The sequence below is a fragment of the Homo sapiens genome, chromosome 9 (genome assembly GCF_000001405.40).
Source record: "Homo sapiens chromosome 9, GRCh38.p14 Primary Assembly".
NCBI lineage: Eukaryota > Metazoa > Chordata > Mammalia > Primates > Hominidae > Homo > Homo sapiens.
This window is the reverse complement of record NC_000009.12, coordinates 87,384,255-87,406,213: the sequence shown is the minus strand read 5'-3', so window position 1 is coordinate 87,406,213 and position 21,959 is coordinate 87,384,255. Positions and strand designations below refer to the sequence as shown.

Below are 21,959 nucleotides of genomic sequence, written 5' to 3'. Positions count from 1 at the left end.
GTGAGAGTTGAAATAACTTCTTTTAAAGATAAATCATCTTTGTGTTACAAACCTTTGAGGTTTAGGAGGCCTCAAGATTCTTGAAGAATCAAAACATTAAGTGAGGAAGAGAAAAGTAACTGTTATTATAGAAATAGCTGCATTCCCAGCAGTGGTGTGCTGTAAATGTTTAACAACCAGCTCTCAAAAAACAAGAAACACTGCCAGGGGCTGGGGTGGGGAGTTATGAGGAGTGACTGCTAATGACTGTGTTTCTTTTTGGTGTGATGAAAATGTTCTGAAATTTGATGGTGGTAGTTGCATAACCTAATGAATATATTAGGAAACCACTGAATTGTACAATTTTAAATGGAAACAACAACAAATCTCCCTTCCCCCGAATATTATTTGCACGATTTGCTAATTTCCATAATGTAAATTCTTCCACTATTGCTGATTTCAACACCACTGGTTCCCAGTGTGGCAATTGTTTCCTAGCCACAGGGGTTTAGGAAGAAGGTGGGGTGTATATAGGATTCCCTCTCTGATTGCTTTTGCTAGCTTTTTTCTTGCTTTTTTTCTTTTTTTTTTTTTGCTTGTTTGCTTTTGTTGTTTTTTTCTGTCTTGAAGTGATCAAGATGTAGTGAAAGCACCCTGAGTGGGATATAAGTCTGAGATTCTTTCCTTTACTAATTCAAATATTCAGCCACACATTTAGCACCTCCTCATGCTGGGCTCTGTGCTGCGTATGTGCCGCAAATTCTAAGGTACCTAGAGTGACCCCTGCCACTGAAGAGACTACAGTCTAGTGAGGGATAGAAATATAAAAACACTATTGTAGAATGTGAGTGTGCATATGCCAGAATAGAAGTATGCGCACTCTGATTGAGAGAGTTACTTTCCCCCATGGAGGAGGAATAGTGGCGGTGATATCAGTGAATGTGTCAGATAAGAGATATCTATCTGACCTGGGAGCTGGGGAAGAGCACCACAATTTAAAAGAACAGCATGAACCAAGGCACAGAGGCACAAGAGTGACAGGGTGCTAAGGATACAGGCACTAATAAGTTGTGGGTAGCTCACAGGTTCGTAAGTGGCCAGGATGTAAAGTGACCAGAAAGATGGGCTTGTATGCTTTTCAAGTTTTTATGGGCCATGCTAAGGAGACTGCACCTTATGGTGCAGGAAATGGGGAGCCACTGAGGTTTGTTAAGCAAGGGAGAGACATGTGGAGATCTGCAGTATTACTTTTTGATGGTAAGAAGGATACATGGGTAGGAAAGAGAAGTGGGAATAAGCTGGAATTGAGTAGGCCAGAGAACAAGACTGTGTTATTCCAGGTGAGAGATGAATAAGCCAACAGTGTAGGGTACAAAGTGGAGGGGATGAAGTGGAGAAACACATCAAGATAAAATGTATAGAACTGATCATTCAATTGAATGTGCATGATGGAGCAGATGATGGAGTTAGGCTAATACAAAAGTTTCTATCTTAGGTGACCAGATGAATGGTGATGCCCATAAAATGCCTATGGATGGTAGGCACTGAGTGAATATTTGCAGAAGGTGGAACAAATATCTGGATCATAGAGGAGCAGCATGGTGTGATGGAAGGCACTCAGAGTGAGGAGTCAGATTAACTTTGCTTGCATCAGAGCATGGTTTGGTTACTTATTATAATCGTTGTGGGACTTTGAGCAAATTTCTTTTCTTTCTTTTTTTTTTTTTTTTTGAGATGGAATCTCACTCTGTTACCCAGGCTGGAGTGCAGTAGTGCCATCTTGGCTCACTGCAACCTCCGCCTCCTGGGTTCAAGCGATTCTCCTGCCTCAGCCTCCCAAGTAGCTGGGATTACAGGCATGTGCCACCACACTCAGCTAATTTTTGTATTTTTTTTTTAGTAGAGACGGGGTTTTGCCATGTTGGCCGGGTTGGTCTTGAACTCCTGAGCTCAAGTGATCCACCTGCCTCAGCCTCCCAAAGTGCTGGGAGTACGGGCATGAGCCACTGCGACTGGCCAAGTTTCTTAATCTCTCTGAATTTAATTTGAATCCATGTGTAGGTGAGAAGAGATTTTGTTAGTTAGTACTGGAATTATTTTACTTGGAGGGATTTTAAAAGCCTGCAGTTATTCCTAGTGCTGCCAAAGGGGAATACATTTATTAGATGAAATGGAATCAAAAACGTAGTGGAGGCAGAAATGTGTGCCCTGATCTATACACAGCCATTACAAATAGTGAAACAGTCTTATTTCTTGATATTTGGAGGATTTCTGGATACCCAGTGACTTCTGTTTGTGTTTAAAAGGTAGAAGAAGAAAGACTGATGCAGTTTAAATCTAATCGGAGGAAAAACTCCTGTGGCTCCTCAGTTGGTGTCCATGGAAACTTGATACAGCAGAGGGCCCTGATACCTGAGCTGTCAGGAGTCCAGAATATGTCTTGTTTGAGAATTCTGAGTAGTCACAAACTATCAGAACATGGGAAGGGGACCCGTGCCAGTTTCAAAGTAAAGCTGGAACTGAAGCTGTTAAATATGTATGTGGGAAAACTGAAAATGCCTTTGAAATAGGCAAAGCAGATTACTGGATGTCTTGTCCAGCATACTTTTCCAGATTATCTCTATACCTTCATTGTTTTTGAGCTATTTTACAACTCTGTAATTGTAGACAACTGATAGCAATGCAAATGATTCTTGTCCATAGGCATGCAAATACATTTTGTCTTGTGGAGAGGCAATTGACTCTCTCACACCCTCATGGAAAAACAAATTTTGCATCTAGTAAACAATTTCATTTGATCGTTTCTTGGGACTTACACTTGTGTCTGCTCTTTGGTTTCTCCTTTGGACTGCTTGCAACATCTCACTGGTTTCCTCATTAGTTAATGAGCTGAATAAAATTGGTGAATTCATTTTATATGAGAATCATGTTTTTACTCTTTAAAAAGGATGATCTGGCTGAGTGTGGAGACTCACGCCTGTAATCCTAGCACTTTGGGAGGCTGAGGCAGGTGAATCACTTGAGGTCAGGAATTTGAGACCAGCCTGCCCAACATGATGAAACCCCATCTCTATTGAAAATACAAAAATTAGCCGGATGTGGTGGCACACACCTGTAGTCCCAGCTACTTGGGAGGCTGAGGCAGAAGGATCACTTGAACCTGGGAGGCAGAGGTTGCTGTGAGCCAATATCCCGCCACTGTATTCCAGCCTAGGCAACAGAGTGAGACTCCATCTCAAAAAAAAAGAAAGAAAGAAAGAAAAAAGAATGATCAATTAATGAGCATCACAGTTACATTTTACACATTGAAAAACTAGGGTAAAAAGAAAGAATCCATCCAGCCCCAGGGTATCCTCAAGGTGCTGATGGAGGACAAATAATGATCCAGGGCAGAGGGAGGCTAGTAAGACTCCAATCTGGGATGCATTGTAGGTCCAGCTTCTACTTCCCCAAGGCCGGGAAAATTCCTCCTCATGTAGACCTTAATATATATATGTCATCAGATTTTCAGCCTTAACATGGATCATGAGATTTTAGTTCGGGATAGAACTGTGTTTCACTGTATTGAGGAGAAAGGCGTAAATGAATACTCTCTCTCTCCCTCTCTCTCTCTCATTCCTTCCTTCCTTCCTTCCTTCCTTCCTTCCTTCCTTCCTTCCTTCCCTCCCTCCCTCCTTCCTTCCTTTCTTTCTTTCTTTCTCCTTCCTTCCTTCCTTCCTTCCTTCCTTCCTTCCTTCCTTCCTTCCCTCCCTCCTTCCTTCCTCTCTCTCTCTCTTTCTTTTTTGACAAGGTCTTGCTTCATCACCCAGGCTGGAGTGCAGTGGCACATCATGGTTCACTGCAGCCTCAGTTTCCAGGACCCCAAGTGATCCTCCCACCTCAGCCTCCCAAGTAGCTGGCTGGGACTACAAGCATGTGCCACCACATCCAGCTAATTTTTAAATTTTTTTATAGAGACAAGGTCTAACTATGTTGCCTAGGTTGGTCTTGAACTCCCGGGCTCCAGTGATCCTCCTGCCTTGACCTCCCTGGTTATTATACTACTGGGATTACAGGCATGATTTGCTGCTCCTGGCCTGGTAAATAATACTGTTAAGGAGAGGGGAAACTCAACCAGGATTCAGAAAATTCTCTCTAAAGCAAATTAGGAAATTCATCTAATTTTTGATTGCCTTAAAAGCATGGATGTGTGTCTCCTCACGGCATAATGATGCACTAACAATACGTAGAAGAGATGGTCAATATTAGTGAGAGGAGGGCTTGTTTCTTACGGATGACCCGTTTAAAAAAATATACAATGATCCAGCTTTTCTCAGGATGGAGTCAGAAGGAATCTCAATAATTCCTATCACAAGACACTAACAGCATGAGGCAACCCTGCAGGAAACACAGAGAGTTTGCAAAGTCCTTCCTTGTGGCCTAAGGAAAATGACTTCTGGGTACTCAGGATAGCCCAATGTGATCAATCTTCAGAATATCAGCGTTTTCTTGGTAGTGAACTAACTGCACAATCCAGGTGGGGCAGGACGTCTGGGTGCTGAAGAATGGGAGCGGATGTAAGGAGCGCCTTGTTGGGGAAAGGAGAGATAAAGGCATGGAGGCATCAAGCATTGGGGTCTCTAGGGTGTAAGCCATGTGCGATGTGGCCAAATGAGTTCTTTTTTTTTTTGAGACCTTGTTTCACTCTTGTTGCCCAGGCTGGAGTGCAATGGCGTGATCTCGGCTCACCACAACCTCTGCCTCCTGGGTTCAAGCGATTCTCCTGCCTCAGCCTCTGAGTAGCTGAGATTACAGGCATGCGCCACCACGCCTGGCTAATTTTGTATTTTTAGTAGAGACGAGGTTTCTCCACGTTGGTCAGTCTGGTCTTGAACTCCTGATCTCAGGTGATCCCCCCTTCCTCGGCCTCCCAAAGTGCTGGGATTACAGGCGTGAGCCACCGCATCTGGCCCAAAGGAGTTCTTGAAGGAAAATTTATCTATTACAAAATAAGAAAGAAGCCAAAAAGGAAATAACAACAAAACAAATCTAAAAAAGGAAGAAAACACAAAAGATAAGTAGAATTAATGGAATAGTAAACAAAAAAACTTGATATTTTAAAAAGACAAATAAAAGAGATAAAGTTATAGCAAATCCAATTACCAAAAAAGTCAATATTAGAAAGGAGACATTTATACCACTGCAGGAAACAAAAATCTGTAAGAGAATAGTTTGTACAATCAACATATTTGAGAAAATGACTTTCTCGGAAAATGAAAATTGTCTTATTCCAAACCTATGCCCAGTTAAAAATCCAGAAACAACTCCCCAAACTGTGCAAGGTCAACATGAAAAAATGTTTTAGTTTTTTCCCGAAAAACACAAAATAGTAAATAAATATTGGAGCAATAGAGTGTGCTCTTAATGGGCTAAGTATTATAAGGATTTTACTATCTGCCAAATTAATCTATAAATTCACAACATTCCCAACCAAATATCAAGAGAATTTATAGGCAAAATAATTATACATTTCCTTTGAAAGGGATAACACAGAATAGTTATGAATACTGGAACAACAAGAAAACAGTAGGGGGTAAGGGCTCCCCCAACTGCCCCACCAGCCTACAATGGAATATAGCTGGGGTAATTCAAAGTATGGTGTTAGACTCAAAATACAAATTTAAACAAGTTGATAAAAAAATGTTGAGACACGAAGCTGTTTGGAAAGCGAGAAAATTAGGCTCTTACCTCATACTAGAAACAGAAATAAAGAGCCAGGCCTCAAGAGCGGAACCATGAAAGTATGAGAAGAAAATATTTTTATTTTTAAAATAATCTTTGGGATGGGAAGGCATCTGAAGAAAGATACAAAATCCAGAAGCCTCAAAGGAAAAGAGAATTAGAGAACTACACACAGAGTTAGTATGTAGGTTTGACTACATACAGAATTTTAAAAGTTTTGATGACGAATGACACTGTAAAAAGTTAAAACAAAACTGGCAGTTGAGGAGAAAATTATTAGTATCCAGGAAATATAAAAAGTTCCTTAAAAACAATAGAAAATACAAAAAAATAGATATGAGCAAGAAATATATGAAAGAATTAAAACAAATGGCTGGCCAGGCATGGTGGCTCATGCCTGTAATCCCAGCACTTTGGGAGGCCAAGGCAGGCGATTCACTTGAGATCAGGAGTTCGAAACCAGCCTGGTCAACATGGTGAAACCCGGCCTCTACTAAAAATACAAAAAAATTAGCTGGGTGTGGTGGCAGGCATCTGTAATCCCAACGACTCGGGAGGCTGAGGCAGGAGAATTGTTTGAACCCAGCAGGCCCAGGTTGCCCTGAGCTGAGATCATGCCATTGAACTGAAGCCTGGGTGACAGAGTGAGACTCCATCTCAAAATAAATAGAATAAATAAAATAAATTTTAAAAATGACCAATAAACAGATGCAAAAATGCTTAACTTTGCTAGTAATTAGAGGAGTACAAATTATAGTTGATAATTTGTGGGCAAGAACATAGAGGAGCAAGTATTCCTACTATTGATCAGAATTTAAACTGCAAGTTTTTGAAGGGCAAATTATTACAATTAAATTACTTTGATCTAGGACTTATACATCTAGCGGTTCGTCTAAAGAAATACCGGCATATGTACATGAATGTATATGCAAAGACGTTCACTGTAGCATTGTTAAATAAAGTAAAAAAAAAAATTAGAACCACCATAAATGTCCACCAAGATGGGGCAGGAGTAGCAGACATTAATGGGGAAGGAAAGTGTCCACTTCACATATTATTACTTATATTTCCTTGTTAAAATAATTTTTTTTTTAATGAGATGGGGTCTTGCTCTGTTGCTGGGGCTGGAGTGCAGTGACGTGATTGTGACCACATCTCAGTGCAACCTTGACTTCCTGGGCTTAAGTGATGCTCCTGCCTCAGCCTCCTGAGTAGCTGGGATTACAGGCATGTGCCACCACGACTGGCTAATTTTTTAATCTTTTGTAGAAATGGGGTCTCTCTATGTTGCCCAGGCTGGCCTTGAACTCCTGGCCTCAAGTGGTCTTCCCACTTTGGCTTCCCAAAGTGTTGGGATACAAGCATGAGCCCTCAGGCCTGGCCTAAACATTCTTTTAAGCAACAATGCAGGTGATACAGGAGTTAAGAAGAAATTACTTAGGCAGATAGTGAGGATAGAGGAGTTCTTGGTAAGGTTTTTCTTTTAATGAAAAGCAGCCCCAAATCATTTTCCTTTCTAAGTAAGAGCAGCCAGTAAAATTGGGCTGCAGACATAGATGCCGGCAGTTGTACCAATCATGTTCAAGATGGCGGCTCCATCTTCCCTTCTCTTTGTCAGCCACACGTATCATAAGGAGATGGTGCCGCCAAGGGGAGAGTTCATTTGCATAATAAGATTAGGGTGGGGAACCAGCCTTCCCCTGGCTATGTAAACGTCATACCTGATGGAACTACAAAATCCGGGGCATCTGACATCATCTGGTCCTTTCCTCTTGGAAGTCCCCTCTCTCTCACTACAGAGAGAGCTGTTTTCCTTTCTCTTTCTTCTGCCTATCAAACCTCCTCTCCTAAACTTCTCCTGTATGTCCATGTCCTAAATTTTCCTGGATCAAGAAAATGAACCCTGGGTGTTTACCCCACACAATGTAGCTGCTTCACAAACATATTTACTTATTTAGGTAAAAAAAAAAAAAAAAAAAAAAAAAAAAAGTGAAAATTATACTAACATATTTAAAAAGTTGTCTGTGGATAGTGGTATCTTAAATGTATACTTTTCTATATTATTCAAATGATCCACAATAAACTAGAATGATTTTTTTCAATCAGGAAAAGACAGATTCAACATATAAAATTTTGAGTACTCCATGTATTTACATTGATATGTAAAAAACATGATCGGCAAACATACTGGAAGAAGATAAACCTGTAGGTTGGCAGTGGTTGTATCTGGATGAGAGATATATTGGTGATTTTCTTTTGCTTCTGTTTTTCTTTCTTTTCCAAGTATTCAGTGATGTGCACACTTTTCTTTTAAACTTTAAAAATATTTATTTTTTTAAAGATGGTGGCCTATCATGGTGGCTCATGCCTGTAGTCCCAGCACTTTGGGAGGCTGAGGCAGGAGGATCACTGGAACCCAGGAGGTGGAGGCTGCAGTGAGACATGATTTCACCACTGTACTCCAGTTTGGGTGACAGAGCAAGGCCTTATCACCCAAATAATAAACAAATGAAAATAAAATGAAGCTAATGTAGGTGACCCTGACCATGTATGCATATGGCTATAATTTTTTTTAAAGCTATTCTTTTACAAATTACAAGAACCAGCATGTATTCAACACCTCTTCTAAAGAGAACAACAATCCGTCAGGGCTGTTGTCATGTTGTTTAATATGTGCTTGCTTCTGAGGGCCTAAAGAGAGAACACTTTGGTTTTTTAATAGCCACAATTCGGGTATAGGATTCAGAACAGAATTCTGACCTCCTACTTTATAGGGGAAAATGCCCTTAAAGACATAGCCTCCGGGATGACCAGATCATTAATTTTAGTTTAGTAAGGTCATGGCAGAGAAAACAAGCAGTGAACTCCATTTTAATTTTAGTGTATTACCATTTCTTGAAGTTTTCTTTTGGGGAATAATGGTTTTTAAGGAGTTAATGAAAAAGGAATTCTGATCTTTGTTTCTAATTCATTTTCTCCATTCTCATTTGCATTTTATTTGTTGAAGTCCTTGCTAAGCTACATCTGAATGAAACAAGAATTCCCTGGGGATAGGGATATTTACTCCTTATTTACACATCTACTTGCTGATAGAAAGCTGCACAGAAGGAGGAAACTGAGAATTAATACGGTTGCACATTTGCATTCTGTATCTCAATAAACTTTTCTAGCTAAAGGCTATTTTGAGGCTGGGAGCCGTGGCTCATGCCTGTAATCCCAGCACTTTGGGAGGCTAAGGCGGGCAGATCACGAGGTCAGGAGATCGAGACCATCCTGGCTAACACGGTGAAACCCCGTCTCTACTGAAAACACAAAAAAATTAGCCGGGCGTGGTGGCGGGCGCCTGTAGTCCCGGCTGCTAGGGAGGCTGAGGCAGGAGAATGGCGTGAACCCGGGAGGCGGAGCTTGCAGTGAGCCGAGATGGCACCACTGTGCTCCCGCCTGGGCGACAGAGCAAGACTGTCTCAAAAAAAAAAAAAAAAAACAAAAAAAACTATTTTGAGGCCTGGTGCGGTGGCTCATGCCTGTAATCCCAGCACTGTGGGAGTCCGAGGTGGGTGGATCACTTGAGGTTAAGAGTTCAAGACCATCCTGGCCAACAGGGTGAAACCCCGTCTCTACTAAAAGTACAAAAATTAGCTGGGTGTGGTGGTGCACGCCTGTAATCCCAGCTACTCAGGAGGCTGAGGCAGGAGAATCACTTGAACCCAGAAGGCAGAGATTGCAGTGAGCCGAGATTGTGCCAGTGCACTGCAGCCTGGGTGATAAAGCAAGACTCTGTCTCAAAAATGAAAAAAGGAAAGAAATTAAAAGCTATTTTGAGTAATTTTTTGGTGGCTGAGGACTAGAAGCACAGAGTCACTTGAAACTTCCACATGACTGCCTTGCATGTCACTGGCTCCTTGAACCATTTTACTACCTTCATTTTCTTTGTTAATATCCCAGAAACATATTTTTCATAAATCAAACTCTCCTTTTCAGAAGCCCTAGGCATTTTCAAAGCTGTAGCAAAATCAACCTCAAGATCTAAAGCCATTCTCTGTATCATTCATTTACTGCAGCCACAACCCAGGCCGAGGGAAATCTCTTTCTTTAGCTAAAGAGGCACCATTACCTAAGCTTCCCTAAGGCTCTTGTGACATAAAATGACAGGACTTTTATGAAAATGTGTTCAGTTTTGCTGAAGCATTGCCTTTGGCTCTTTTAGTCGCTGCAGTTCTGTGTTTGTTCAGCTGGAGAGGTCAAATAATTTGTTCTTCCAGAAGTTAATCATTGATGACAAATTTGCTTGGCTAACACACGCACTCTTTGTCGCAGACTAGCGCGGGAGAGCGCAATTTGCCTTTGTAAAAATGCTCATATTCTTCAATGTACTTTTTCTCCTATTTCATACACTAGCTTCAGGCCACTAGCTTTTCTCATCACCTTCTCTGCATCATCTCCTTCTGTCGCCTCTGGTCACCCCCTTTCCTCCCTTGTCAGTTAAAGACACAGAACCTGCCTTCACCTGCCAGGGCACATCAGGACTCAAACATGGATCTCATGCTTGACCAGAGGTGGATTTTCTAAGGAAGCTTGGCTTCAGGGCCCCTTGCTTGCACGGGGTCGTAGCAGTGTGTTCACACGATCATGCATTGTAAAATGTACAAATGCCAGATATCCTAGCCTCTCTACACACAATTATTCTCTGTTACATTGTTGTAGGACTTTCTCCTTAGTTCAGCTAAAAACAGGGTCCTTGTCACACAACCATGAAAGATTAGCCTCACAGACCCTTTGAAGGGTGAGAAGAGCAGGGTTTATTGGGTGAAAAGGAAAAAAAGGGAAACAGTGACTTTCAGCAAAGCGAGAGTCCTGCTAGTAGACTTCCTGCCTCACAGATTGACTCCCAGGTACCACCTGGAATAGGAGAGGCCAGGCTCCTCTCTCCTGCAAATGGCACCAACTTCCTGAGGCTCCACCCCAGTGTACATTCTTCCCAGTGCCCAGGCTGGTTGGATGTTCTCCGGTGATCCCTTTATACTCAGCTGTCTCAACGTCTGCCCTAATATGGTTGGACTTCGAGAGGCTGTGGACATTTTGGGGAACCATCTAAAGGAAAGCTGAGTTGGGGACACATCTAATTTGGATTTAGTGGAACATGCTTACTTGGTTTGCACTCTGTTTGTGCCTGGCTACTGTTCAGTTATGGCTGGCTGTCTTCTTGGAGAAATGGCTCCCAGGAACACTTCCCCCACCTACTCCCCTGGCATAGAGACTTAAGAGACATGAAAGGGCAGACCCAAGCATCTCACTGAGGGATGAACATGCATATGATAGCTGGTACCCTAACTGTGTGAGAGGCAGGGGAGAGGCATCGTCTGAAAGCTATGGAGCCTGAAGCCAGTCTCTGGAAAACTCCTCCAAATGGTAAAACTTACGTGTGAGGGAAATTTGATAGAAGTTTTGCCAAATCTGAACACAATCCCAAGAAACTTACATGACATCATCAAAAGCGGTTGTGATACTGAAGGAATCGTCTACACTACTGACTAATTATTATTATTTTTTTTTGATATGGAGTCTTGCTCTGTTGCCCATGCTGGAGTGCAGTGGCACGATCTTGGCTCACTGCAATCTCCGCCTCCCAGGCTCAAGCGATTCTCCTGCCTCAGCCTCCCGAGTAGCTGGGATTACAGGCATGCCATCACGCCCAGCTGATTTTTGTATTTTTATTAGAGATGGGGTTTCACCATGTTGGCCAGTCTGGTCTTGAACTCCTATCTCAGATGATCCAGCTGCCTCAGCCTCCCAAAGTGTTGGGATTACAGGCGTGAGCCACTGCTCCCAGCCTGACTTAAAAATTTAATCAACCAGGCTAGATTAAAGATATTTACTCTTATGTTGTATATTATGAAATCTTTATCATATGAAGAGATGGTCAAAAAGTATGCAGCCAACAATGTAGGAAGGAAAATCTTATTAAGATGTGTCAGGATTTTAATTTTTATTTATTTTTACATGATATTCCCCTGTATTTTATGATGTTCATGATTTTTTTTGCCAGTGTTTAAAAATTTGTATTTCGTTATGACTTCTGATTTCCCTCACATCTTTACCCAATTTTGTATTCTTTTTTACAAAATGAAGCTTGAAGGTGAAATCATCTTCTTCATCTTTTTAGGCTACCGTATTACAGGGCAAAGACTTTTATACAATAATTCTTAACCCAGATACTGGTAACTAATACATTTGAGGCTGGAGAAAAGTCCATAAATATTGGAAACTGCTATTATGAATCTGCACTCAGCTTTTTCTAGTTTCTATAAAATAAGATTTCAGCTTAGAGGACATCCATTCCCACATGCTAGAACAACACTCAAAAATCTCTAAAAATATAAAGCGATGTTCAGTAGGGAGGAAGCCATGTCATAAGAATAATTTGGCTGGTTCTTAGGAACAGTTAGTAACTAGGCACAGCCAAAATCAGTGTGTTTGTCTTCTAACAGATCATAATACCAGGTGGCAAAGAAAAAGACAGAAAGGAAATGCATGCAGTATGTTTCAAAGGGGGTTGTTGTGTTATGCAAAAGGCATAGATCCCAGAGGAAGCCATGTGCCCTCCCTACTGTTCAGATGGGGTTTGTCTGGCGCTAGGTAGCAGTAACCAGGGGAATAACAGATTGGTAGGATGTTCTCAAGGGGAAGGAATCTTCTGATGCCCCAAAGGGTAATGCCTTTGGAACATAAGGTAATTCAGATCTGATTATATTGCCGTGGTTCCCAAACTTTAGCACTGGCATCGTAGGGAGGAGGGCTTGTTGAAACAGATTCCTGGGACCTACATTCAGAGTTTCTGATTCAGTAAGTCAGGGGTCGGGCCTGAGATTTGCATCTCTGACAAGTCTTCAGGTAATGCTGATGTGTTGCTCAAGTTCCTCATGAACCTTTAGAGGTTGTATTTGACTTGTTGTTGATCTGCTTTGTTCAGATCTTGGTGTAACAAGGGAATCAGCCACCATCACCTGCATTTTGGCCCAGACTCAAAGGTGGGTAGAGGAGTGGAAAAGCATCAGTGGAAACAAGGGAAGGCTTCAGGTGTGCCCTGATTGCAGGCTGTTGGCATGGGAACTTGGAGGCCGGCTAACTAGAAGTGGAGCATCCTATGGGATTGCTTATGGGATTTACAATAGATGATATATATTTGGCTTTCTCCATGTGGTCCTAAGTTGGAAGTAGCGACAAAAATAAAAGAAGCTGTCAATTATTAATTAAGTCCTGATCACTTGGATTCAATTGTTATAGGGGTTATTATGTGGCTTCCTGGGCTGGTTGCAAGAGATAGTGATCTGAATTCCTACAAATTCTACTTATAGATGTACCTACTGGCTGGCTTCTTGGGCTGGTTACTGTAAATAATCAGTTGGCTTCTTGAACTGGTTGCTGGGATTGTGGATAAGAGTTCTATTTTTATATGTAGTCTGACCATCATCTGTTTGTGTATTCAGTCTCTCAGATGTCCAGTAATAGTTTCTTGCCTCAATGGGCAAAATCATATTGACGTTTACGATAGATGAAAACCAAGATCCTCTTTGTGCATCCACTCTCAAATATAGATTAAGCACCTAGTTTATGTCACATATGATGTCAGCACTGAACATAGTAAAGCAATTTCAAAATTATCTGCTTCATTTAAGATTTCTTTTGATTGCTACTTCATCATGGTTCTAATACGTCTTCAAAACACAAAACTAAACTATACTTTGCAGGAAAAATACATGAGTGTGATAATTTTTTCATAGAGAAGCAGAATGCATTGCAGTTCTAATATGATCGGGATCCATTTTGTTTTGCATGGAAGGGATGAGTCCTGTGAAACAGGGATCCATAAACTGGCAAGTCCTTGGTTTGGTGCAGAAAATCCTCACGATGGGAGAAATTAACCTAAAAATTAGGAACTCAAGCGGTAATAGGAACTGAAAAGGGACTCTAGCTAAACCCTGTTCCTGATAATTGAGTGAATCACTTGGCCTCAGCACTCACTTAGCCTCTACATTGGAAACACAGCAAGACCCAACCTCAGATTTACTCTGAAGGCAGAGAAGGAAAGTAAGACCATTGAGGTGTCTTCTAAAAGGGCACCATAGAAGTAAATGCATTCTTTAAGGCATGTTTGCTACATGATCCAGGAAAACATAGATCACTTGATAAGAGTTTAGGGAAATACAGTAGTCTTTTTATCTGCCTTCCCTGCCACCCCCATGCCTCAGCCCCGGGCTGCTTTCATCATTCCACACAGGATAATGATTTATCTTTCTGATTTAACCACTGAGCATCTTATTGCATGGAAGAGTCTGGTATTTTGTTACTTTTAAGAGTAATACAATACAATTGGTTCTGAGGGCTTCGCTTATTACCTTGCATTGTTTTCTCATGAAGGACTATGATTCCTCTTGTTACTTGTTTCAAAAATAGTTGGAATTACATATGAAGATAGCAAATTGCAAACCCTTTAGGTTCTTTTGCAGAGGTTTGCTACTAATAGTCTCTTTAGTGCTTTTCAGGGTGTAAAGAAAGGAACTGGTGAATGTCTGTGTTCTGTTTTTTAAGTCAGGGGAGCCAGGGGAAATATAATCTGTGGAAAAAAATCCAGGCCTCAGCTCGGTTGCTCTCTGCTGAGTCCTAGATCACGACCATATTATTGCCAGATCTTGATTGGAAGGATTAGACTTTTCAAAAATCAAATTTTCACATTCTCTTAAGACTTTTAGAAAGCCTCAACTTACAAATTGACAGATAAGGACTATTATTTTGCAAATTCAGAAGTCATTTCTCTTACTTGATGATGCTCTATGAGGCAAGGATGGAAGCCTGAGAGAAAAGTCACATAAGAATAGGACCCTTTTGTTAAAAAAAGATTTTTTGGCTGGGTGCAGTGGCTCTTGCCTGTAATCTCAGCACTTCAGGAGGCTGAGGTGGGTGGATCACTTGAGGTCAGGAGTTCCAGACCAGCCTGGCCAACATAGCGAAACTCCATCTCTAATACAAAAATTAGCTGGGTTAGGTCATGTGCACCTGTAATCCCAGCTACTCAGGAGGCTGAAGCTTGAGAATCACTTGAACCTAGGAGGTGGAGGTTGCAGTGAGCCAAGATCACACCACACTGTCTCAAAAATAAATAAATAAATAAAAAAGATTTTTTAACCTGGTTATGAAAGTAGTATGGGCTCATGCTCATTGAAAAGGAAAAAATACAAACAGGTAGAGTTAGATTTTAGAAACAGTTTTATCTAACATAGACCCTACCTGTATAATGTTTTGTTTTTCTTATTTTAGCATAACCATCTCCCCTATTTCATTAATATTTCTTCGCAAGTATACTTCTAGTGACTAAATAATATTCTCTTACGAAATTTTTATAATTTACTTAACCATTTGTCTATTCATTGAGGCTTAGATTGTTTCTAGTTTTGACAGTTACACATAATATTGCAGAGAAAACCTTGGTGTGTACATTTTTTTGTTTACAATTTTCATAAATTCCATAGATTTCCACAGATTTCATAAATTCCTAGAAGTAGATAGAGTCACAAAACATAAATACTTTTAGAAGTTTTGCTGTTTTTTCAGCAACCATTGAAACGATGATGTGATATTTCTTATCTTATTGATGAAATATATTGAACTCATTCTAAAAATAATGGAGGAAAAAATTGAAAGAGGTGCTATCCATTTTAACTGTGTAGCATTATATTAAGGTTAGATTGGGTAGAGTATTGGTAACTCCATGCAGAGGACGTCCACATGAACATTTAGTGAGCATTAAAAGTTTCTGCCATGGGCCAATATATGTGGGGCACCAAGAGCAGGAAAGAATGGTGGAAAGCCACAGCAATTAAGAGTTGAAGAGCGTCATTCCACATTCCCTTTATTTTCTGCCCATGTTTCAGCTGCATTGAGCCCTAGACCTGTTGGGATGACTCAAACTTTCATTTGCATGAGACCTGACACCTTGGTTGTTTCATTCTTATTGCATTACAGGTTGAGTATCCCTTATTCAAAAGGCTTGGGACCAGAAGTGTTCTGAATTTTGTATTTTTTCAAATTTGGAATATTTGCATATACATAATGAGGTATCTTGGGGATGGAACATGAATCTGAACATGAATCTAAACATGAAATTCATTTATATTTCATATACACCTTATACACATAGCTTGAAGGTAATTTTATACAATATTCTTAATAATGCTGTGCAGGAGACAGTTTGCTTACATTGAACCTTCAGAAAGCCAAGGTGTCACTGTCTTACCCACTCATGTGGACAAACTGTGGTTCCTTGGCAGTTACCATCATTCCTAACTAATGACTGCTACCAATAAGCAGACATTTTCTTACAGTTATTCACACATAAGTATTAAAGAGTAAGAAATATAACATACCATCAACACAGCAAAAAAAAAATAACGTGTTCTGGATTACTAAGCAGCACAGTAGCATCACCAGAATACATGGGGATGCTGAATAAACTGTGTTGTGTGCCTGCGTTTTGACTTCGACCTATCATGTGAGGTCATGTGTGGAATTTTCCACTTGTGTCATGTCAGAACTCAAAAATTTTGGAATTTGGAGCATTTCTGGTTTTCAGATTAGGGATGCTCGGCTTGTATCTCAATTTTTCATTGACCGGAAATATTGGATCAGAAAGTCTTAAGAGTGAGCCCAGCCAACCTCCTGGGGTCCAGACTTAGTGGTCCTCACATCTATTGAGCTGGAGCATCCCAGTGTCTCGCTGTCTCCTTGTCAGTACAGAGACCTCCCCCACTGCCTTTTGGGTTACTCGTGTGAAAAGCCTGGAATGGCCATGTGATAGTCTCAGCTTGTAATGTAATAGAACCCAAACTTTGTTTCCCTGGCAGAATAATTTTTTCCTTTGAGTGTTAGGACTTCCAAACATTTTGGTCCCAAGATTTGGGTGGAAAAATAAATCTCCCCTATCAAGTAATCTGGTATAAAATTGAAAGGAGCTGTTTGTACCTCTCCCCTTCTTTCCCAAGACTATGCATTCTGGCTATAGGGAAAGCTGAGTGAGGAAGGTGCACAGTTTCTTTCAAACATTTTATCCAGAAGTAAGAAATCCCCCAACGTATTCAGTGGGTCAAAATTCAGTAGCATACCAGAGCTAACTATAAGGGAGATTGGGAAATGTAGTATGACTTTGTGCAAAGCAGGCAGAGGGGTAAGTCTAGTGAATACACAGCATATCCCCCCACATCCCTCCCTTGCCTCGACCAATTCATTTTTGCTGCCCTATGCAGTTCTTCTTGAATATGTTTCAAAATTATGACAAGGTTCTAGTTTCATTAAGCATCTATTAAATTCATTTTTTAAAAAATGTTTGATTTGTTTCAGAGAGAAGACAAACCACTCTTCCATTTTTTTTCTTTTTTCTCTTTTTAAATAGAGATTGGGGGCCAGGCACAGTGGCTCACACTTGTAATCCCAGCACTTTGGGAGGCCAAAGTGGGCGGATTACTTGAGGTCAGGAGTTCAAGACCAGCCTGGCCAACATGGTGAAACCTCATCTCCACTAAAAATACAAAAAAATTAGCTGGGCACGGTAGCACATTCCTGTGGTCCCCGCTACTTGGGAGGCTGCGGCAGGAGAATCGCTTGAACCCTGGGAGGCGGAGGTTGCAGTGAGCCGAGATCACGCCATGGCACTCCAGCCTAGGCAACAGAGTGAGACTCTATCTCAAAAAACAAACAAAAAACAACAATAAAAAGACAAAAACAAAAAACAAAACAACAACAACAAAACACAACTAAATGGGGGGGGGGGTGTCTCACTCTATTGCCCAGGGTGGTCTCGAACTCCTGGTCTCAAATGGTCCTCCCTTCTCAGCCTCTCAAGGTGCTGGAATTACAAATATGAGCCACTGTGCCCAGCCTGCTGTTCCATTTTTGTCTAGAAACCTGGACACCATTGATTGCACTACCTATTTATTTTTAGTGGCCACATTGTAGGCTGTTGCAGATCCTTACATTTGAAATAATTAAAATTTTTGTTCTCAGGACCTAGGATTACTTCTCTAGATAATTAAATATTACTTAGTGCTGCCAGTTATGTTATGAAAATACCTTAGAAATGGGCTGGGTGCGATGGCTCACATCTGTAATCCCAGTACTTTACTTTGAGAGGCTGTTGTGGAAGGATTGCTTGAGCCCAGAAGAGTTTGAGACAGGCCTGGACAACATAAGAAAACTCTGTCTCAGAAACAACAACAACAACAACAACAACAACAAAGGTTAGCTGGGCGTGGTGGCATGTGCCTGTAGTCCAAGCCACTTGGGAGGCTAAGGTGGAGGGCTCACTTGAGCCCAGGAGTTCGAGGCTACTGTCAGCCATGTTTGTGCCACTTCACTCCAGCCTGGGTGATGGAGCAAGATCCTGTCTCAAAAAAAAAAAAAAAAAAAAAAGAAAAAGAGAAAAGAAGATTTTATCTTCTTTGTGCAGTATCCAGAAAAATTCAAAGTCAAACACTAAATTCAATGTTGTAAGTTGAGAGAAAAGTTTTTGTGTTAATAGCATGAGAAAAATGAGCAATTTTCTTTGAATGTATTCTTGGTATGATCTTCTGTAAGAACTTCCAGGTAATACCCCCTGGGTGGTAAGAATTCCTTAGCCAAGTCATGACTGAGTCAGAAAACCCAGTACAACCACTTTGCCACATGCTTCAGCCAGAGAGAGGGTGGGGAGGTATCAGCATCTGTTTATCAAGTGCTTCATGGGGGCTCAACACTATCGGGGAGACCAGAACCCCTGCACCCTAGGATGACAGCTGGTATTAAGAGTGAGATAGGCGGGGCACAGTGGCTCATGCCTGTAATCCCAGCACTTTTGAGGGCTGAGGTAGGAGGATCGCTTGAGCCCAGGATTTCCATACCACCTTGGGCAGCATGATCAAACCCCATCTTTACAAAAAATGCAGAAATTAGCTAAGTGTAGTGGTGCTGGCGCCTGTAGTCTCAGCTACTTGGGAGTCTGAGGTGGGAGAATCACTTGAGCCCAGAAGGTTGAGGCTGCAGTGAGCCGAGATCAAACCACTGCAATCTGGTCTGGGTGACAGAGCCAGACCCTGTGTCTCTGCCTCCCCCACAAAAAAAAAAAAAAAAAAAAAAGAAAGAAAAAAAGAAAAGAAACAACTTTGAGATATGCAAAGGTTAGACACAGCTTACAAAGTACAGATGATATACTCTTGTGCATATTGCTGGATTGTAACTGAGAGAATTCATGTGAAATATAGTAACTTTTAGAGAGCCACACATGTATTAGCTGATTTTTTTTTTTTTCAGAGGCAAGGTCTGGCTGTGTTGCCCAGGCTGACGTGCAGTGGCTATTCACAGGTGTGATCATAGTACACTACAGCCTGGACCTCTTGAGCTCAAGTGATCCTCCTGCCTTAGCCTCCCAAGTAGCTAGGACTACAGATGTGTGCCACTGCTCTTGGCTTTTAGCTGCTACTTTATTGTAAGACCCTAGTTGGCCAGACTCAAAATAGGCAAGTCCAGACTACTCTGGCTGTGTGCTGGGCACCTTAAGCTTAACCCTCCACATCTCCTTGGCCTTTTCAGGAGGTCCCCACCAGGTGCAGTTTGAGACCTCACCATTGGTTGTAAGTTTATTTTGCTGCACAGATGGAATTTAGGATAAGCCCTCAGCTATGTGATCTCTGAGAAAGTGTCTAGTGTGTGTTGGTGTAAGACACCTGGTATCTTTAGGCAGCATGAGTCCTTTGTAATTACTACAGGTTCTGCAAAGAACTATTACTCTTGGCAAGGACTTTATTGACATTCCCTTTAGCAAACAGAGACTCGGTGATGTTCACGGCCACCAGCTCTCAGGAAAGGCTGTTGTGGGCAGCAACACAGCTGGACATTCCTTTGCTTACTGATGGGAGATTCATAAGGTAAATGAAACTTGAGCACAACTTTCAAAAGATGGAGAATCTCATCATTGTCATAATGTATATTTTACTCTTTCAAATGATTTTATTAAATAACTTATTATGAGGTTTATAATGCCAGAACTTGGGCCTCTTATTTCTAAGTCCTGTGATCTTTTTGCTCAACCACACTGAGGTGATTTGGCAGGTGAAAAAATGTAGATAAATGGAAGAGCTTCTATCAATGGGAGTATGAGTGTGGAGACAGGATAATGAAAAGTTGTTTTTGAACATGCAGTAGAAACTGGAAACAGGAGAAAGTTGGTGGAGAATCACAATTACTTTGGAACGGGGTGCATTTATGTCTATGTGTGATGAAGAAGTCTTTGAGATCCATGACCAGAAATTTGGGTAAAATGCATGCAGAAACTATAGATGTCTTGTCAGAATTGGGAAGGTAGGCAACATATGAGAAAGATATTTTGGCCATTCAATCTGAAGGGGCAGTGGTGAGATGGACAGTCCTGTACAAAGTGGCAGTCCAAAAAGACAGGGAAAGGCTCTGGACTGAGTTTTCAGTGATGGGAAGAAGACCACTGGTATATGGGAGACTAGCTGGGGGAGGTGATTGACAGGGTGTGAGGAATCTCAATGATGACACCAGCCAATGGCTACTAGGGAGGGACATCATTGTGGTTGAATGGGAAGGATGTTTGGAAAAAAATAAAATCAATCTCTGCCAAGTCTTCCCATTATAAACACTGGCCTATGGTTTCCTCGTGGTGAGTGATCTCAACCCAAGAGAGCTCACAAGAAGATGTATCTAGGAGTGAGCATGAATGCAGGAAGAGAAACAGGTGTCAGAGATGCTTTGTCTCATCTGAGTGTGCTGAGAAGAAGGGACTGATGGCCAGAGTAAAAAGAAGCAGAGAAACCTATTTTTTTTTTTTTTTTTTTTTTTTTTTTGAGGCAGAGTCTCACTGTGTCGCCCAGGCTGGAGTGCAGTGACGCGATCTCCGCTCACTGCAAGCTCCGCCTCCTGGGTTCACGGCATTCTCTTGCTTCAGCCTCCCGAATAGCTCGGACTATAGGCGCCCGCCACCGCTCCCAGCCAATTTTTTTGTGTTTTTAGCAGAAACGGGGTTTCACCGTGTTAGCCAGGATGGTCTCGATCGCCTGACCTCGTGATCCGCCCGCCTCGGCCTCCCAAAGTGCTGGAATTACAGGCGTGAGCCACTGCGCCCGGCCGAGAAACCTATTTTTGATGTTTATATTTGGTGAGTGTTTCTTTTTACTGTTTAATCATGGTTTTGAAAGCCATAAGGAAGGAAAAGCATGGCAATGCTAATTGCAGTGGATTTAAGACAACGTCTATGTGTTCTTTGACACTTCTCCCATCAAGGACCTAATTCCCTTTCCTTTGGTCCTAATTAGTAGAATGTGTTAGAAATGCATGACCACAGAGGCTGGTCATAAATGGTGACACAGCATTCCCCTGGCTTTGTTTCCCAGGATACTTGCTCTTGGAGCCCACCTGCCCTGCTGGGAGGTGCTGGGAACACCTGGAGAGCCATGTGCAGCTGTGTGGCCAGCAATCCCAGCTTTGTTCCCAGCCAGCTGCCAGACCTGGGAGTGAGGAAGCCTTCCAGAAGACCCCAGCCTAGTCCCCATCTGACAGCGACCTCATGAGATATCCTGAGTGAGATCTACCCAGCCGAGCCCAATAAACCCATGAAAACATCAGAGGTTTTTCTCCTCTTCCTTTCTCTCCTCCTCCTCCTCATGAAAATTGCTGCAGTTTTATGCTACTAAGTTTGGGCTGATTTATTACACAGCAATAGAAAACTGAAACATCAATCAATGGCACGTTGTTAGAAATTATCAAAGGCAGTGGGCACGGCTTGTCATGCCTGTAATCCTAGCACTTTGGGAGGTAGAGGTCGGCTGATTGCTTGAGGCCAGGAGTTCAAGACCAGCCTGGGCAACATGGTAAAACCTTGTCTCTATAAAAATTAGCTGGGCTTGGTGGCATGCATGGGTAGGCCCAGCTACTTGGGAGTCTGAGATGAGGGATCGATTGAGTCCAAGAGGTCAAGGCTGCAGTGAGCCGTGATCGCACCACTGCACTCCAGCCTGGGCTACAGAGCAAGAGCCTGTCTGAAAGAAAGAAAGGATGAATGAAAGAAAGAAAAGAAAGAGAAAGAAAGAAGGAAAGAGTGAAAGAAAGAAAGAAAGAAAGAAAAGAAGGAAAGAAAGAAAGAAGGAAGAAGTTACCAAAGGCCCTATACTATTTCCTATTAATATTCCTTCTCATTCTCCTTTATTCTTCCTATC

The 21,959-nt window shown here is 41.7% G+C and overlaps 1 long non-coding RNA gene across 2 annotated transcripts, besides 4 other annotated features; it reads left to right on the top strand.

Annotated features, from left to right (window-relative positions):
- Positions 157–707: an enhancer, noted in NCBI's record as "NANOG-H3K27ac hESC enhancer chr9:90020422-90020972 (GRCh37/hg19 assembly coordinates)". NCBI's record gives its function as "activates a minimal SCP1, AML or CMV promoter by ChIP-STARR-seq in primed H9 embryonic stem cells {active_cell/tissue: H9 hESC(primed)}" and the evidence as "EXISTENCE:reporter gene assay evidence [ECO:0000049][PMID:30033119]".
- Positions 2,877–3,492: an enhancer, noted in NCBI's record as "H3K27ac-H3K4me1 hESC enhancer chr9:90017637-90018252 (GRCh37/hg19 assembly coordinates)". NCBI's record gives its function as "activates a minimal SCP1, AML or CMV promoter by ChIP-STARR-seq in naive H9 embryonic stem cells {active_cell/tissue: H9 hESC(naive)}" and the evidence as "EXISTENCE:reporter gene assay evidence [ECO:0000049][PMID:30033119]".
- Positions 3,493–4,110: an enhancer, noted in NCBI's record as "H3K27ac-H3K4me1 hESC enhancer chr9:90017019-90017636 (GRCh37/hg19 assembly coordinates)". NCBI's record gives its function as "activates a minimal SCP1, AML or CMV promoter by ChIP-STARR-seq in naive H9 embryonic stem cells {active_cell/tissue: H9 hESC(naive)}" and the evidence as "EXISTENCE:reporter gene assay evidence [ECO:0000049][PMID:30033119]".
- Positions 18,347–19,230: a silencer, noted in NCBI's record as "fragment chr9:90001899-90002782 (GRCh37/hg19 assembly coordinates)". NCBI's record gives its function as "represses an EF-1alpha promoter that drives an FKBP-Casp9 reporter gene in an ReSE screen in HepG2 liver carcinoma cells {active_cell/tissue: HepG2}" and the evidence as "EXISTENCE:reporter gene assay evidence [ECO:0000049][PMID:32094911]".
- LOC105376127 (uncharacterized) lies at positions 19,415–21,368 on the top strand. Of its 2 annotated transcripts, none has more exons than XR_930077.3 (2): positions 19,415–19,649; positions 21,138–21,368. It is a non-coding gene; the product is annotated as an uncharacterized LOC105376127 (long non-coding RNA). The 2 variants fall into 2 exon arrangements; XR_930076.2 differs by lacking the exon at positions 19,415–19,649 and adding an exon at positions 20,678–20,902.
- Positions 21,369–21,959: the final 591 nt, after the last annotated feature.